The 12,041-nt window shown below is 41.4% G+C and overlaps 3 pseudogenes, 1 gene segment (V, D, J or C) and 1 further gene; all 5 read right to left on the reverse strand.

Annotated features, from left to right (window-relative positions):
* Positions 1-12,041, reverse strand: part of IGH (immunoglobulin heavy locus) — a 1,293,408-nt gene that overhangs the window by 739,206 nt on the left and 542,161 nt on the right.
* On the reverse strand, positions 3,790-4,044 carry IGHVII-28-1 (immunoglobulin heavy variable (II)-28-1 (pseudogene); annotated as a pseudogene). Its single transcript is given in 1 exon segment — positions 3,790-4,044. A coding segment is annotated over 1 exon segment (255 nt).
* Positions 5,464-5,921, reverse strand: IGHV3-29 (immunoglobulin heavy variable 3-29 (pseudogene); annotated as a pseudogene). Its single transcript is given in 2 exon segments — positions 5,464-5,772; positions 5,876-5,921. Coding segments are annotated over 2 exon segments (355 nt in total).
* GOLGA4P2 (golgin A4 pseudogene 2) lies at positions 6,594-7,439 on the reverse strand (annotated as a pseudogene).
* On the reverse strand, positions 9,438-9,891 carry IGHV3-30 (immunoglobulin heavy variable 3-30). The segment is given in 2 exon segments: positions 9,438-9,744; positions 9,846-9,891. Coding segments are annotated over 2 exon segments (353 nt in total), but the record flags the coding sequence as incomplete, so codon positions are not given.

Here is a 12,041-nt window from a genome sequence, read left to right on the forward strand (position 1 = left end):
ACTTAGATGGCAGATGCAGGAGTATTGTTGGAGACCAGAAGTTGGAGGCTACATTGAACTATGATCCCACCACTACACTCCAGCCTGGGTCGCAGAGTAGGACCACATCTCTTCAGAAAAAAACAAACAAACAAACAAAACAAAATGTTATTCCACTCGTGCTCACCTGTGCATCCCCAAAAGCCATCCAAATAATGAATAAACAAATTACACTTAAAAGTTTCCTTGTGTTCCTCTACAATTCCTCCTTCCCAATTATTTTCTTCCTCCACCATATTCTGAGTCAGTCCTTCACATTTAATACCTTAGTTTTGAGTTTCAAGAATTTATTATACAGGAATTACATAGTATGTGTTTTATTTGTGTGGCTTCTCGCACATAACTACTTATGATGCACACATGTTGAGCATCAACAATGTATTGATTCTAATGATGGATGTTATTACCATAAATTAGCATGCCATTACTGTTTATCTATGTATCTTCTTGATATTTGTACCATTTCTAGTTGCTTAGTATTACACAGAGGTGCTTCTCAGCTTGGAGATGTAAGCACCCCATAAAAATATGTTACTATTCTTATAACAAATACTAAACTTACTGATCTGCAAATTAGCATATATACATCAAATTTTTGATGTTATAGGACAAACAATATATCTGAAATCTGAACAGACATAAAGACTTGCAGGGAAATAAACAGGAGCAGATGATAATCTTTTCTGGGACAGAGGCTGCCAAATGTCATTTAAGTTAGCACACGATTAAAGTAGACATATTCATTGGGTGGTTTCAATTTGAGTGTGATAGAGAAGTTATTGTTTAAATTCTCAGAGTGTATGCAGTTGAGGAATTCCTCCTGCTATTGAAGGCTTTTTCTTCAGTACTGGGGATACATCACAAAATGCTCCACCCTCTACCCCTTGGGATGGTGCTGTCTGGGAAAGCAAAACAGCAACTATAGGTGAAGTGCATCCAGACACACCTCCCCATCAGCACTACATTGCAAGAGAAATTATCTGCAGAGGTAAAGCCATCAAAACCACTGTTCTACAGACACTGGAGAAACCAATAAGAACTGGGAGGGGAGAGAGGAATGCACCAAGTCCCTGTCCAGGCCCACCTCCCATCTTCCCTCAGGAGTAACAGCCTTATTCAAAAGGAAAAGGCAGAAACTGAAGAAATCAGTGGGAAGACATAGTGGCTGCTGAAGGAATATATGAATAAAAACGAAGAGGCCAGGTGTGGTGCCTCACGCCTGTAATTCCAGCACTTTGGGAGGCTGAGGTGGAAGGATCACCTGAGGTAGGGAGTTTGAGACCAGCCTGACCAACATGGAGAAACGTCATCTCTACTAAAAATACAAAATTAGCGGGGCATGGTGTCACATGCCTGTGATCCCAGCTACTCTGGAGGCTGAGGTAGGAGAATCACCTGAACCTGGGAGGGGGAGATTGCAGTGAGCTGAGATGGCGCCATTGCACTCCGGTCTGGGCAAGAAGAGGGAAACTCCACCTAAAAAAAAAAAAAAAAAGAATGTAAAGAACCGGCCAAGTGTAGATGAAGGGCCCTGGAAACCTAGCTACTTGCTAGTCAGGAGGTTGAGGTGGGAGGATTCTATGAGCCAGGAATTTAAAATCACCGTGAGCTATGTTATGATCACACCACTGCAGTCCAACCTGCACAAGAGAGTGAGACTCCGTCTCAAAAAAAAATTAATTAATTAAGAATTTTACACAATTGTAAAGCTACTCAAATAGAGGAAGTTAAACTGCGCATCCTCACATATCATCAGGCACTTCTGATATTTTGAAGAAGACAGGTGACCTAAGACCTTCAGAATAAGCTGATGATCTCAAATCATGAGAAGCTTCCACACAAGACATTGGACCAGAATCCTCCTCCATATCCTACTCATTATTCTTTGCTTATAAACAGTCTTCTCATTTTCTGCAGACCTGGCTGTTGTCCACCCATATTGGAGTCTTGTCTCTTTTCTTACTCATCATTTGTATACTTGCTATTTAGAGTAAGTCATCAGACTCTGTGTTTAGGCCTGACTGCTGATAACTTCAGGCTCATTCCTCCATCATCTCTTTTTTTAAGCATACAAGGTAAATCTAGTTAGAAATCACAGGAGCTCCCTCATTTGATGCCAATTTGGCCTTGAAACCCCACAAAACCCTTCCTGCAAGTAGGATGCTCTGCCCCGCTCCCCACCAAACCATGATAACAACCCTGAGCCAGTCTCCTTCCCTGCCCTATCAAGCCACTTTGGACCTTAATGAGAGACCTGCCCTGCTCTCAGCAGACACCTTAAGGATGCAGGTAACTATCCTTTCCATACTCACTTGGTGTGAGTGTGTGGCATAATCAGACTCAACATCCACAGAAAATTTTAGTTGAGATCTCTTGGCATTGGCATGGTGTCGGCTACAATGGATGCTGGGAGCTTGGTGTCACGGCTCCTTCCAAAGGACATGCCTGCTCCCTGAGTTAACTCCCAGACGCAGTTGGACATGCCTCCTGGGGTCTGAGAAGCTCCTTTCATGTACTGAAATCCTGTCATTATGTTTTTGTATTCTAGTGTCTCCCTAAAAGTACAGTGAGACCCAGGGTCCATTCATGTGTGTATTCAGGACTCTCTGATTTTTATGTATTTTATTCATCTCTCTCTACTACCTTTTCTACCAAACTAGACATTTAAAAAATTGCAATATTTTAATGAGGTGAAATTAGCAAATAAGAATCTTTACATAAAGTGTACAATTTTACAAATATTGACATAATCCTCACTTTTACTAACAGAGAAAAAAATCAATTATCCTAGAAATTTCCTTTTGTTCTCCTGTAGTTTCTCCTTTCTATACCTTCTCTTCTTGTACCATGTCCCCAGTCAACTACAGATCTTTTTATGTAACTTTAAGTTCATTTTTACTTTATAGAAATTATAGAAGTGGAATCGTATGTATGCACTTTTATTTGTCTGACTTATTTTACTTATTCAAGTACTTGCTATTTTAAGCATGGTGTTGGGTGTATCCAGCATTACTTGATTGTAGCAGTGGGTATGATTCCAGTAAGTGAATTTTCCACAATTTGTTTACCAGTTAAGCTGCTGAATAACAGTTGGATCGCTTTTGGTCTCTGGGTATAATAAACAAAGATGCTACTTAGCTTAGAGAAGTGACAAGCTGAGAAAAACATGGTTCTTATTTTTACATAACATGAATAGCAGGCAAAGCAGAAAAGCTGCACACTAATCAATTTGCTTCAATACATCACATAATTAAAGTTGGGAAGCTCTGTGTGTGTGTCAGTTCACGTGTTTTTGTGTGACAGAAGAGAGAAGGCAGGAGGAGAGACCATGCCAAAAGGAGACCCTACCTGTTTTGACCATAATGTGTGAGGTACTCAAGTAAATACAGGGACTTAGTGCTTGATGGACAAGGTCCACATAAGATGGAGAAGACAACTGGATGCACCTCCATATGGGTACATATTAGTATTTACATAAATGCCATTTTCTAATCATATCAACACTCAGACACATTAGAAGAGATGTAGTGGAGGGTGTCTGGTGGTGAAATATGATGGTGAGAACAACCCACATCTACAGCCCCTTTTCTGCCCTGTTGCACTTGCCCTGATGCGAAGCCTTGATCCTGCTCATCCTGACCCCTAACAATCATCCTAAGCCCCCATACTGCCCCGAATGCCCCCTGCTGCTCCTATTCACCCCTGCAGGGAGGGTTGTGTCTAGGCTCACAATGAAGGCCCTTCATTGCGTCTTTTGCTTAAAAATGCGTAGTTGTGTGTTCACTGGGCACAGAGCTCAGCTGTAAGAACTGTTTCTTGGATCTGGATATGGACTCTTGAGCAGTGGGTTGTAATTTGTGCTCCCTTCACAACCCATGCACCTGATCCACTCCTGTCCATCTTCTAGGGGCAAGCAGATACAATTCTAGCAGGACACACTGGTTATGATGGGGAATCCAGAGACAGTGCAGGTGAGGGAGAGGGTCTGCAAGGACGTCTCAAGCCAGAAGTGTGCTGAGAAACATAGTTGTTGATGTTAACAGGTTCTGGGCAACACAGTGAAATTCCCAAAACCACACATTTTTATGAGAATAAAGAGCTCACTTTGTCCAATTTGTGAGTCTCCTAGAACAATTCAGTAGATTTCGAGGTTAGGTTAAAAAGTATTATCACATGTTCCTTTCCTCAAACTTGCAACCAAATAAAAAAGAGAAACTGCCGTTAGAAAAATGAACCTTGAATTGTTACCATGGTGTGTGATAACGATGATTTTTAGAATATGATTGACCTGTGATAACCTGAAGACTGTCCTAATTCCGAGCCACAATTAGACCTGAGCAGCAATCACAGGGAGTGAAACACCTGACTCAGTGAAGCTGCACCTGGGGGTCTCCGCAGGCCCTGAGTGGTACAGGAACAGCTCCTCCCTCAGACTCAGTCTAAGGAGAACTTCTGCTCTTTATCTGGGGAGGTGAGGGTGAGTGCGTGGAAAGTACCAAACTTGCTCTAATCAAGATCTCTGCATGTGGGGAGAACCAAAGTATACGAGAAACAACTGGTTTCAGTTTAGATCGAACAGTTTCTCATGAGAAGGGCAGTACCATGTCTGGATCCTGCACAGAATTCAGAAACAATGAACTTGGGGTAAAGTTGAAAATTATAATTGTTTGCAGATTGTGTTATTAATTATCTATGTCATCTGAGAAAATGAATTAAATCACATGGTTTTCATATAAAAATTGACAAAGCGTGCTGGCCCTGAGAATGCACCTCAAATCCCTCCAATATCCAGGAGCCCAATAGACCAGGCAGCCAGCTGCTGCACTGCACTCTAACACCCATCAACTGTGTGTGCCAAAGACACCCATCCTGGGAGCTCCTCCCAGACAATGGCTGTGCACAGTGGAGAGATTGAGGCATGGCTGCTGCTGGGACACATGGGAGATCCCTGATGGACAACTGTGCTCAGCGAGGCACCAATGGCCTTGCTGGACTTAGCTTGGACCACGGGGTCATCAGGGAAGCTCCATCAAACTCCCACCCTTCTCCAGCACTAGTTGTGGGTCTGGCATTGGGGGTGGCAGTGTCTACAGACACACCCGGCTCCTATGCATTTTTATGCCTCCAATACTTACATCTGTTTTTAGGACATATGAGAATATTTCCTCTTTCAAATTAGTTTTCTAATCCAGCGACCTCATGGTGGGCACAAAATATAAATGTACAGAGGCTCAGAGGGGAAATATTAGAAGCAGAGGAAACCACAGATCCTGAAGGAAAGCAGCCCTTACCCTCCCTCCATCTGCACCTGCCTTGGGGCTGCACCTGTTTTGTGAGTGCTGAGTGTCCCCTTTGGCCCAGACTCCTTTCTTCTTTTTGCAGGAAATTTTGTGTCTGGACTCACACCGATGTTTCCTCACTTGGAACCTTATGTACAGCCATACACAGCCATGTCCTCAGTTCTCTGACTGTTCATTTGCAGATACAGAGAGTTCTTAGCATTGTCTTTGGAGATGGAGAATCTGCCCTTCACAGAGTCTGCATGGTGTATCTGACTTCCATCATCTTTTATATCTATTACTCACTCCAGCCCCTTGCCTGCAGACTGGTGAACTGGGCTCATTCAGAAGCTACTGAAGGCGAATCTAGAGGCTACACAGGAGAGTCTCAGGAACTTCCCAGGTTGTCTCAGGTCCTCTGTGGGCTCTATCAGCTCCACCTCACACTGAACACCTGAAAATACAAACAAATCCTGGTCAGAAACTGGCAAACATATCCACTGTTTCTCTCACTCATATCCACTCACTCTCACTCACTCTAGTTCCCTATGAGTTACCTTTTAAAATACCAACAAGAAAAATTCAGCTTAATTCACACCCCATAGTGAGTTCTCTGTGTTCAGTCCTGATTACCAAATGGAAACCCCTGGGAATCCCAGGGCTGTGGCTCTTCTCCCAGAGCTGCAGGGTCAGGTCTGGGCTTGTTTTCACCAGGAGAGGGGCCCTCCCTCCTCCTCTATAGCAAGCTCCAGTGTGGGATGCCTGAGAAGAAGGCAGTGCCCAAAGCAGACGTCAGACTCCAGGAGGAGTTTAGTGGCAATGGTAGCATTTGGAAAAATATTACTTATAATGTGACTGTGCCATAAAACTCATTTAGCAATTATGATTTTTGTTTTTACACATGTGTACAAATACAAATATAACTGCATTAAGCAAACTGTAAGAGATATAAAGAAATAGAAAACAATACAAAAATAACACAAGACCTTAATACCTCATGACCATAATGTATAGCAAATCCGGAAAGAAAATTCCTAATGTGCCTCTGAACTTGAACAACACTATTGAACAAATTTATCTGAATGATATTTACAGAACCTTCCAACCAAGAGTCACGTAATACACATCCTTCTCAAGAACACATTGAACATTCTCCATGATGGGTTATATGTCACATCATAAAATGAACCTTAACATTTAAAGAAGTAATGCCAGCCCTTCTGTAACTCTTTCAAAAATTGGTGAGGAGTCCACCTTCCAAACTCTTTATATATATATAGTAAATAAACTTTATGTTTCTCAGAGATGACACTGTAAACAGTCACAGATTTGCATACAATACAATTATGTATTGGCTATTTACAATTTACAGTAGTGGTTCTTCCTCTGAGAAATATAAGTACAAAAGCTAAGTAAACAATGAGGTACTGCCATTTGGGATTTATTATGTGTCATAGCTTAAAGAACTGGCCTTTAGCAAATATTAAACAAATCAACCTGAATAAAATAGTCAATTAAATGATTTATTTTTTTCTAATTTATTAGAAAAAATTCCACCAGGTTTCACCTCAAAATGTATTGCATACGTCTAAAAACAAACTTAAAAATAAATAGGAAAGGTAAGCAGTTCTTCAAAAAGAATGGAAGAGGCCGGGCGCGGTGGCTCACGCCTGTAATCCCAGCACTTTGGGAGGCCGAGGCGGGCGGATCACGAGGTCAGGAGATCGAGACCATCCCGGCTAAAACGGTGAAACCCCGTCTCTACTAAAAATACAAAAAATTAGCCGGGCGTAGTGGCGGGCGCCTGTAGTCCCAGCTACTTGGGAGGCTGAGGCAGGAGAATGGCGTGAACCCGGGAGGCGGAGCTTGCAGTGAGCCGAGATCCCGCCACTGCACTCCAGCCTGGGCGACAGAGCGAGACTCCGTCTCAAAAAAAAAAAAAAAAAAAAAAAAAAAAAAAAAAAAAAAAGAATGGAAGAAAGGAATAGAATGAAAGCTCATAAACCAGGTTAAGTCATTCTGAATATCTTTTAAACAACATAAAATTCTTCCCAACAGAAAAGTGAAGAAAAAACTATCACCATTTCTCCACTGATAAAATCTATTTTAAAGGTAGTCTGCCATATATCTTCTAAACTCTTTCTATGAGGCTACCATGATAGTATTACCAGTAATAGACAAAGGCACCACAATAAAAGAAAACTACAGACCAATATCATTAGTAGACATGAATTAATCCCCAACAATAGTAAACTAAGCTCCAAAGTGTTTTAGAAGACATACACCATGACCAACTCAAATTTCTTCCTGAGATGCATACTTGATTCAACATTCTCAAATCAACCAATTTGGTACACCACATTAAAAAACTAAAGAAAAAATACCTCAGTAACATTTCATCAGACACAGAAAAAGACTTTGAAAAAAATCAGTTTCATTATAAAAACTATGAACAAAGTAGGAAGACAAGAAAACAACTTGAACATAATAAAAGCCGTTAAGAAAGGCCACAGCTATTATTACACTCAATAGTAAAAGGTTAGAATATTTTGGTCCAATATCTGTAACAAGGCAAGAAGAAAGCTTTAGGCATTTCACTTCCAGGCCTTAACATTTGTTAAAAACATAGAAAGTTTTGGCATAAATACCTATACAGAGCTTAGATATAAACCCACATATTGATGACGAGCTGATTTTTAGCATGAGAACCATCAATATAACATGGCTAAATTGTAGTGTCTTCCAAAGAGGGTGGTATGAAAACTGGATTTTCCCATGAAAAGAATTAAGAATTTTAGGTTAGAATAAACACAAAAATTCACTCCAAATGCCTCAAATATCTAACTTTAATACCTGTAATTGTAAAACTCTCAACCCTCAAAAAATTAGCAATCTTTTTCTGGATTTTACATTCAAATCACCTACAAAAAAAAAGCAGAATTGAACAAGTGGGAATAGATTATGAAAAAGATTCTGCAAAGCAACCAAGTAACTACAACTTACAGAATTGGATAATATGCCATATATCTCAAAAAGTTTTAATGTCCAAATGGAAAAGAAACTTCTACAACTCAACAGCAAAAAGAAAAATAGCCTCATTTTTAATAATCAGTTTTACACCTTTAACACTGTAAGAACCTAGAACTCAGGTTAATGTTTTTCTCCATGGGCAACGGTCCGTCTTTGGGTCTACTTAGCTGGACAATACTGTGTATTGATTTGACAAAACACTAATCCAGGTGGTGGTGTGAATTTTTAACAGACGTTATTGAAACTGGAATCGGTTGACTCTATGTTAGGTAGATTATCATTGATAACCTGCTTGGCCCTGATTCCATCAGAGCAGAACTGGAGAAGGTAAAACTCCACGGTGATTAAGCAGCTTCAGCTCTTTCTGAGACTTCCAGCCTGCACTTACTGATGGCCGGCCCTGAGGATATTGGATGTTCCAGCCATCTCCCAAAATTGTCATCCCCTGCATCTCACAGGGAAAACATCTTCCTTTTGCAAAAAGCAGGAAAAACAAATGGAAAAAGGAGAAAAACGACGAAAAAATAAAGTAAATGGATTAGGAACAAAAGAAGCACCAGATCGGTGCTGATACTGATTTGCATACTTTCGTGTCAGGAGAAGGATCAGACGTGAAATCTGTGAGGTTCTACATGACGCTGACCCTGGTTCAGCCTCTCTATTGTCTGTGACCAGGATCCATAAAGACTGTTCCAGTCAGGGAATCTCACGGAGGTCCCTGTCCTGGGTCTGATTGGAGAAGACTCACCAGGAAGCCCTGAGGTTACTCAGGACTCTGATCCTTGTGACCATGGTTGAGGAATTTTCATCCGTGTCAGCGTCAATCTGCATTTTGTGCCAGGGAGAAAAGGTCCTCATATGCATAGAGAAGACATTGTTAGGCACAGTTTTCTAAATTTAAGAGGTTCCCTGGGGAACTGTCAGAAGAAGACAAAGTCCCACATCCTGACAGGAAACAGCCTCCATCTGCACCTGCCTCCAGGGCTGACTCTGATCAGTGGCTCCTGAGCGCCCCCTGCCGCTGATTTCCCGCCAGCGTTCCTGCAGGGAGGTTTGTGTCTGGGCGCACAATGACTTCCCCTCACTGTGTCTTTCGCACAGTAATACACAGCCGTGTCCTCAGCTCTCAGGCTGTTCATTTGCAGATACAGCGTGTTCTTGGAATTGTCTCTGGAGATGGTGAATCGGCCCTTCACGGAGTCTGCATAGTATTTATTACTTCCATCATATGATATAACTGCCACCCACTCCAGCCCCTTGCCTGGAGCCTGGCGGACCCAGTGCATGCCATAGCTACTGAAGGTGAATCCAGAGGCTGCACAGGAGAGTCTCAGGGACCTCCCAGGCTGGACCACGCCTCCCCCAGACTCCACCAGCTGCACCTGACACTGGACACCTGCAAACAGAAGGACACCGTTATCAGAAAATGCCACACAAATCCAGTTTTTCTCACTCATGTTCACTCACACTCAGTCTCTCTATTTCTCCATGAATCACCTCTTAAAAGAGCAACGAGGAAAACCCAGCTCAGCCCAAACTCCATGGTGAGTCCTCTGTGTTCAGTGCTGATCACCGAATGGAAACACCGCCGACTTCTAGTGCTGGGCTCCTCTCCCAGAGCTGCAGGGTCAGGGCTGGGCTGGTTTTCATCAGTAGAGGGAGGGCCCTATTTGCATGTCCCCCACTATATAGCAAGCTCTGGGTGGGACATCTGAGGAGAGGCTGGGCTCAGGGCAGATGAAGTGTCCTGGGGGAGACTGGTAGTAATTCCATCATTCAGGAAAATATAGTTATATCTTATATGCTTGTGCCTTGATTAACACTTAGCTCTCATAACTTTCTTTTATTCTTACATATTTACACAATATATTTAATGCAGGCTTCAATGTTATATTTTACAGGAGATAATTTACATAGAGAACACAGCAGTTGTGCAGTGTGTCTAAGATAACACATCTAAAAATTTAGTCCTATTACCTGGGCCTGTGCTCTAACCTCTGGAGGAGGCAGCTCCCCTGAGACAACTCCAGGGCAGCATGGCCCATGCCTAGTGAAGTCTGCAGGATTCCCCATCTGTTATGACAACTTTCTGTTATTTACCTAAATACGCAGAGTGAACCACGGTTCATGTGTATGTTTTTGGAAGTCAGTTATATTCCTTGTGTTAATATCGATCTATTTATTGCTGCAATTCAGTCAAATATTATCTCATCAGTTTCTTTATTGCTTTATTCGAGTGTAATTAATAAATAATTCAAATTTATGGTGAATGATTTGAAAAATGTAGACCTATGTTTGCAACCATTTACTCAGCACTTCAATCAAGGTTTGAATAAATTAATCCCTAAATCTTTCTCTTATTCCTCTGAAATTTAACTCACATCCCCATTACTCCCAATAGCATATTCTCAGAAACATTTAAATCTTCTCCATGTTAATTTATAATAGTGGCATCTTCTAAAATTTCTACAAATGTATCATATAAAATTTACTCTTCATTCCTTAGTTTCTTTCACTCAGCACAATTCTTTGAGAATTTAGCCATGTTTTTTTCAATGAGTGAGGCATGACTTGATTTCAAGCTGCATTAGATTCCAGCACAGAAATATATGCCAAACTATTTAACTGTTCACCTGTAACGAAATGTGATTGTTCTCTCAGTTAATGGATTTGATAGAGAAAAGCAGCTACTCGGCATGGGAATGTAAAAATGTGTAAACTATGAGCTTATTCTGACCTCATTAACAACAAAGCTGAACAACTACAAATAAAAAAAAGAAAACCTTCAACATATCTGTGTTGATGTCAGAGAGAAAACAAACAATACACAAAACCTGAAATCTGAGGAGAGAGGCGGCTGCAGAGAGAAGCAGGACCCATGTATTAGTGTACCTGGGGCAGATGCCACTGGATGGCATTTAAGATCGGAACAGGCTGACTTGGACATATTCAGTGAGTTGCGTGAGGATGCACGTGCTCATAGTGTTAGACTGTGAAGCTCCTGGTGCTTGCAGGCTTTTCCTACAGAATTATTATTAATATTCTTGCTGCACTTTATGCAAATAATCAGGCCAAGTTTAAGACTAAAGTTTATTTTGCAAACAACTCAGTCTTATCATTATTTGCTGCTGACAAAAACCAAAACTGGAAAGAGAAACATTGTATTTCAAAACATATCATACACTTGTCTTTAAATTCTAATCTCTTCAGTTGTTTAAGTATTTGCCTGCATTTTAGACTAACTCTGCTTATTCCTGAGCGCCAATCAATGATCTCTGGCTACAGCCCAGAAGAAACAAAAAGCGATGGGGAATATAAAAAATCTGGATCAATATTTTAATTCTAAGCAATTATCCTTTAAATCATGCCAGGTGATGGGAATGAATAGGGTGCCCCTAACCTGGAGGTTTCTTTGTTTGGGAAAATAAATCCCAGGGAGCTGACAAAAGCCAAGCCCCATGCGCCCAAACCTTAGCAGGCATAACTACAGCTGCAGTTATCTAGGAATGTCAGCAGCCTTGGAATTTTCTTTCAAGCTGTCCTTGCCACCTTGTTTGGTTTTCATACATGTCTTCTAATAACCAGATTTGCCTCTTCTCATTTTCAGACCATCAAACTCCAAATGGTCATGCAACTGAAGCCTGGGATAATGGCTCCCTTTTCCTGGGGTCCCTTAGACCTCCAAGAGAGATC

Source organism: Homo sapiens, chromosome 14, assembly GCF_000001405.40.
Source record: "Homo sapiens chromosome 14, GRCh38.p14 Primary Assembly".
In the NCBI taxonomy this organism is placed as follows: Eukaryota; Metazoa; Chordata; class Mammalia; order Primates; family Hominidae; genus Homo; species Homo sapiens.